The sequence below is a fragment of the Homo sapiens genome, chromosome 19 (genome assembly GCF_000001405.40).
Source record: "Homo sapiens chromosome 19, GRCh38.p14 Primary Assembly".
NCBI lineage: Eukaryota > Metazoa > Chordata > Mammalia > Primates > Hominidae > Homo > Homo sapiens.
In genome coordinates, this window is record NC_000019.10 from 40,119,024 (window position 1) to 40,123,661 (window position 4,638).

At 39.2% G+C, this 4,638-nt stretch overlaps 1 pseudogene, besides 1 other annotated feature; it reads right to left on the reverse strand.

Moving 5' to 3' along the window:
- Positions 2,046–2,246: a silencer, noted in NCBI's record as "peak3482 fragment used in MPRA reporter construct". NCBI's record gives its function as "represses an SCP1 promoter by STARR-seq MPRAs in K562 erythroleukemia cells {active_cell/tissue: K562}" and the evidence as "EXISTENCE:reporter gene assay evidence [ECO:0000049][PMID:32103011]".
- VN1R96P (vomeronasal 1 receptor 96 pseudogene) lies at positions 2,300–3,207 on the reverse strand (annotated as a pseudogene).

The window sequence follows — 4,638 nt, forward strand, 5'->3', positions numbered from 1 at the left end:
AAAATTCCTCTGCCTTGGGATCCTGTTGATCTGTGACCTTACCCCCAACCCTGTGCTCTCTGAAACATGTGCTGTGTCCACTCAGGGTTAAATGGATTAAGGGCGGTGCAAGATGTGCTTTGTTAAACAGATGCTTGAAGGCAGCGTGCTCGTTAAGAGTCATCACCAATCCCTAATCTCAAGTAATCAGGGACACAAACACTGCGGAAGGCCGCAGGGTCCTCTGCCTAGGAAAACCAGAGACCTTTGTTCACTTGTTTATCTGCTGACCTTCCCTCCACTATTGTCCCATGACCCTGCCAAATCCCCCTCTGTGAGAAACACCCAAGAATTATCAATAAAAAAATAAATTTAAAAAAAAAAAAAAAAAACAAAAAAAAAACATAAAAATTAGCCAGGTGTGGTGGTACACCACTGTAATCCCAGCTACGCAGGAGGCCAAGTGGGAGGATCACTTGAGCCCAGGAGTTCAAGGCCACAGTGAGCCATGATCACACAACTACATTCCAGCCTGTGTGACAGCATGAGACCCTATCTCTAAAAATTTTTTTTAAAGTACAAAAGAAAAAAAGACCTTTACGAAACACTTGCTATGTTTACTGCATACTTCTTTCCCAAGGAATTATTGTGCAAGTACAACGCTCTCCTTCATGCTGATTTTCATCATCTGTATCAGAGCCATCATCCCGTCTCACCTAGTTTACTTCAAACATCTTCAAAAGATCAAAACATCAACAGTTGTTTTGAAGATGTTTGAAGTAAACTAGGCGAGAGGGGATGATGGCTCTGACACAGATGTTTTTTCCCATGTTTACGCTTACTCAATTCAATAAACTATGCTCATAATTGTTAGGTAAACTAGACAATTTTTTAAATGTCTCCTGTCTCTTTGATAAAGTCCTTAAATTACCCAAAATTACTGTTGGGTACAAATTCCTAACCTAATCGATAAAACATGGCAGATGGTCACGGCATCCTAACTCAGTAACCTCAGCTCCTGCTCAATTCTCTTGTTGTTGGAACACAAGGCATAGCACACAGAATTTCCTTTCATTCTTTGCATGTCCTTTGTTCCTTTCTGCAAATGTTGTTCAAACAATGGTTTCCATTTGCCTAAAGTGCCTGCTATGGCTGGTTAACCTCTAAAATATTTAGGGAGCAGCCCAACCTGCAGATACAAAGATGTCAAAAAACGAAATTACAACACATTTACTTTAAAGACCTTAATTTATTTTATTTGTGATTCTAGAATCAAGCAGCACTTTATTCTACAAAATAGAATGAGTAGAGGAGCTGAGCAGAGCAGGGTGGTTTTACAGACAGAAAAGGGCTGAGGAAAACAGACACAGAGAGCAGAAAGTGCCTTGGCCATTTCAAAGTTACTTCCCCTGTAAAGGTTAAAGCAGAGGGGGTTTCAATATCATGCCAGCTAAAACTGGTCAGGCCGGGTGCAGTGGCTCATGCCTGTAATCCCAGCACTTTGGGAGGCTGAGGTGGGCAGATCACCTGAGGACAAGAGTTTGAGACCAGCCTGGCCAATATGGTGAAATCCCGTCTCTACCAAAAATACAAAAATTAGTCGTGGGTGGTGGCGCATGTCTGTAATCCCAGCTATTCGGGAGGCTGAAGCATGAGAATCGCTTGAACCTGGGATAGAGAGGTTGCAGTGAGCCAAGATCACACCATTGCCCTCCAGCCTGGGCAACAGAGTGAGACTCTGACTTAAAAATAAAATAAAATGAAATGAAATGAAATAATGAAATGAAATGAAATGAAATGAAATGAAATGAAATGAAATAAACTGGCCTGCTTGGAGATTTGGCTATCATCTCCCTCTCTCTCTCTCTCTCTCTCTCTCTCTCTCTCTCTCTCTCTCTCTCGAATTATTGGAAGATCAGATAAATAACCTAGTTTCAGCTTGGTGGCATGGAACTTCAGCAGGAGTAACTCCATTTTTGTTTGGTCTGTTGAGCCTCATGCAGGGGCTCAGCCCAAACCAATGGCTAAACCATTGGCTAAACTGTAAAGTTTATTTAACAAAGGGGAGCTTTCCATGGTCCTGAAACAAACTACCCTGAGCTCCTCATTGCAGCAACCTATGCAACTACAACTATCATTGGTTCTGTAATTGTTTCTTTGATGTCTGGATTCCCCCACAGACTTTAAGGAAGTAGATACCTTTCTGTTTACTACTGAATAGGAGTGACACAGGGAAGGTACTTCTTCACAGTATGAGATGAGTGGATGAATGACTAGAGTATAAAACGCTGTCAGCAACTGGGTAGGCTCTACAACTTCCTCAGCAGGAGGACCAGAGGCTGGAAACATGGGTGTCACTTTTTAAGAGCAAAAGGGGGCTGATGGTTGGAAAACCAGATACTAGAAGAATGCTGGTTTTCATAAGCCACACCTGTGGATTGTCAAAAAGAAAAAGCACACATTTCAAAAGCAGAAGAGAAAGAAAAAAATAAGGCAAAAGTGCTCACAAGTATCAGAATAGATTTTGTGGCTCTGGTCTCTGGGGATATTTGCGAGCACTGTTTAGTGCCATGAATGTATCAGACTTGCCACTTGTACCGGTGAGGGAAAAAATATCTTGGAGCCACTGGCCCCATGCCATGATTCCCAAGCAAAAAACATCAATACAGGAGAAAATAACTGAACACATTGATTTTGTAATTGTATCAACTAATAGATGAGAACAATATCCAAGGTTTGATTTCACAGTGATATTTCTGCTACTCCATTGGCTAGTCATTCTCATGGGAACAATGAGATTTACCAGCAAGTGAAACACCCAGCTCACAATACAGGGAGAATTAATATGTTTGGGGGGTTTGAATTTGAGTTCTGCCCACCTGGAGTTTGTGGGGTTGATACTTAAGGCCTGGAAGCCACCTAAAAGACAGATGGTGTTGAGAGAATTTCCCCAGGCCACTCTGTGACAATAAAAGACAAGTTTACATCCAACATCATCCAGGAAGTATTGCAACCCAAAAGCTGCCATCTTCTGAGGGATTCCTCCACAAAGAAGGATTGATGTATTGGCTAACACAAGATGGTTGGTTATTTGCTCTAACGGTCTCAATCTGTGTCTCCTAAAAAGAGAACAGATATAATAACAAAGGAGTAACGAAAATTCCCCACAATCCCTATTCCAGTCTGTGTAAAGATAATCACACCCATTGCTACATCAATAGATAGCATTCCCTCAGTGACTGAGAGATGATGCTTTTGCTCAGATCCAGGAACCTGGAGAAAAATGGAAGGAACACATGAATTTCTTCAAGTGAAATGAAATGTACTTAATTTCTTTCAAATCTCCTTCCTGGGACCCCTATGCTATTGTCACACATAAAAATCCCATCCATGAAGGTTTTTTCTCCTCACCACCTAGTATATCTTTCTTGGTACCTATAACAACAGAAATTATCTTACTGGATTATCTTATTTCTATTGAAGGAAGACCATTTCCTCCAATGGAAAGATGAAGGTCATGAAGGCAGACATCTTGTCTACCCTGTTTTCAGCCCATAACTAAGGTTTAGAACAACATACTGTTAAGCAGTCAGTCAATATTTATCACATGAATAAATGAATGAACTACTGAACAGAGTCATTATTTCCGTGTCAAAAATTATTTCAATGTGTTCTTTACCTTAATAGATTTATTAACATGGGAAGCAGAATCTCTCCTTGATAGTTAAAAATATCTAGTGCATTAAGCTAATTGCGTTATTCGAAACTACATATCCTTGCTTGATTTGGGGGTTTTGCTTTGTTTTGTTTGTGTAAAAATTTGGTCTTCTTGAGAGACAAGTGTTCAGTGTCCTATGTTGCACTTGATTCTATCAAATACTCTTTGTCAAGCATGATCTTTCTATAATCCAAAACAAATTTTGGACCAAGGACCCAAACTGAATTAGGCAGAGTACCTTAATAATAAAACATTAACAAAGATATAGTCCAGGAATACACATGATTAATATCAAAATGAACATTAGATATAATCTCATCTTGGCCGGGTGCAATGGCTCACGCCTATAATTCCAGCACTTTGGGAGGCTTAGGCAAGAAGATCGCTTGAGTCCAGGAGTTCGAGACCAGCCTGGGCAACACAGCAAAACCCTGTCTCTACAAAAATAAAACAATTGAAAAACAAAACGAACAAACAAAAAAGAATTAATCTCATTTCATTGGGGAAAAAGACTAACGTGACCACAGGCACCACAATTATTCAATATTTTTCTCACCTGGTCAATAAAATGGAAGGTAAAGTTTATCCCTCTTTGGGAAAGTTAGATGATTTTTATGTTACATTCAAAGAAACAACTAAAATATTTAGAAGTAATAAGATAGTAATTTGCCCAAATATAACATAAATAAAAGAATACACTGTGTATAAACACTTTGAAAATCTTAGGAGTAATCTAGATCAGTAATATGCCAGAAATATGAGCATTCTCAATCAAAAAGTGGAAAATAAATCTTGAATTAGTAGAATGAAATTCCATGTTCTTGGATGGAAAGACATAATGTGCTCTCAAGATTTGAAATTTCCTCAAATAAATTTGTAGATTCAATTCATTATGAATCAAAATTGCAAGGGACTATTTTAGGAGCTATACAATTTGCAAC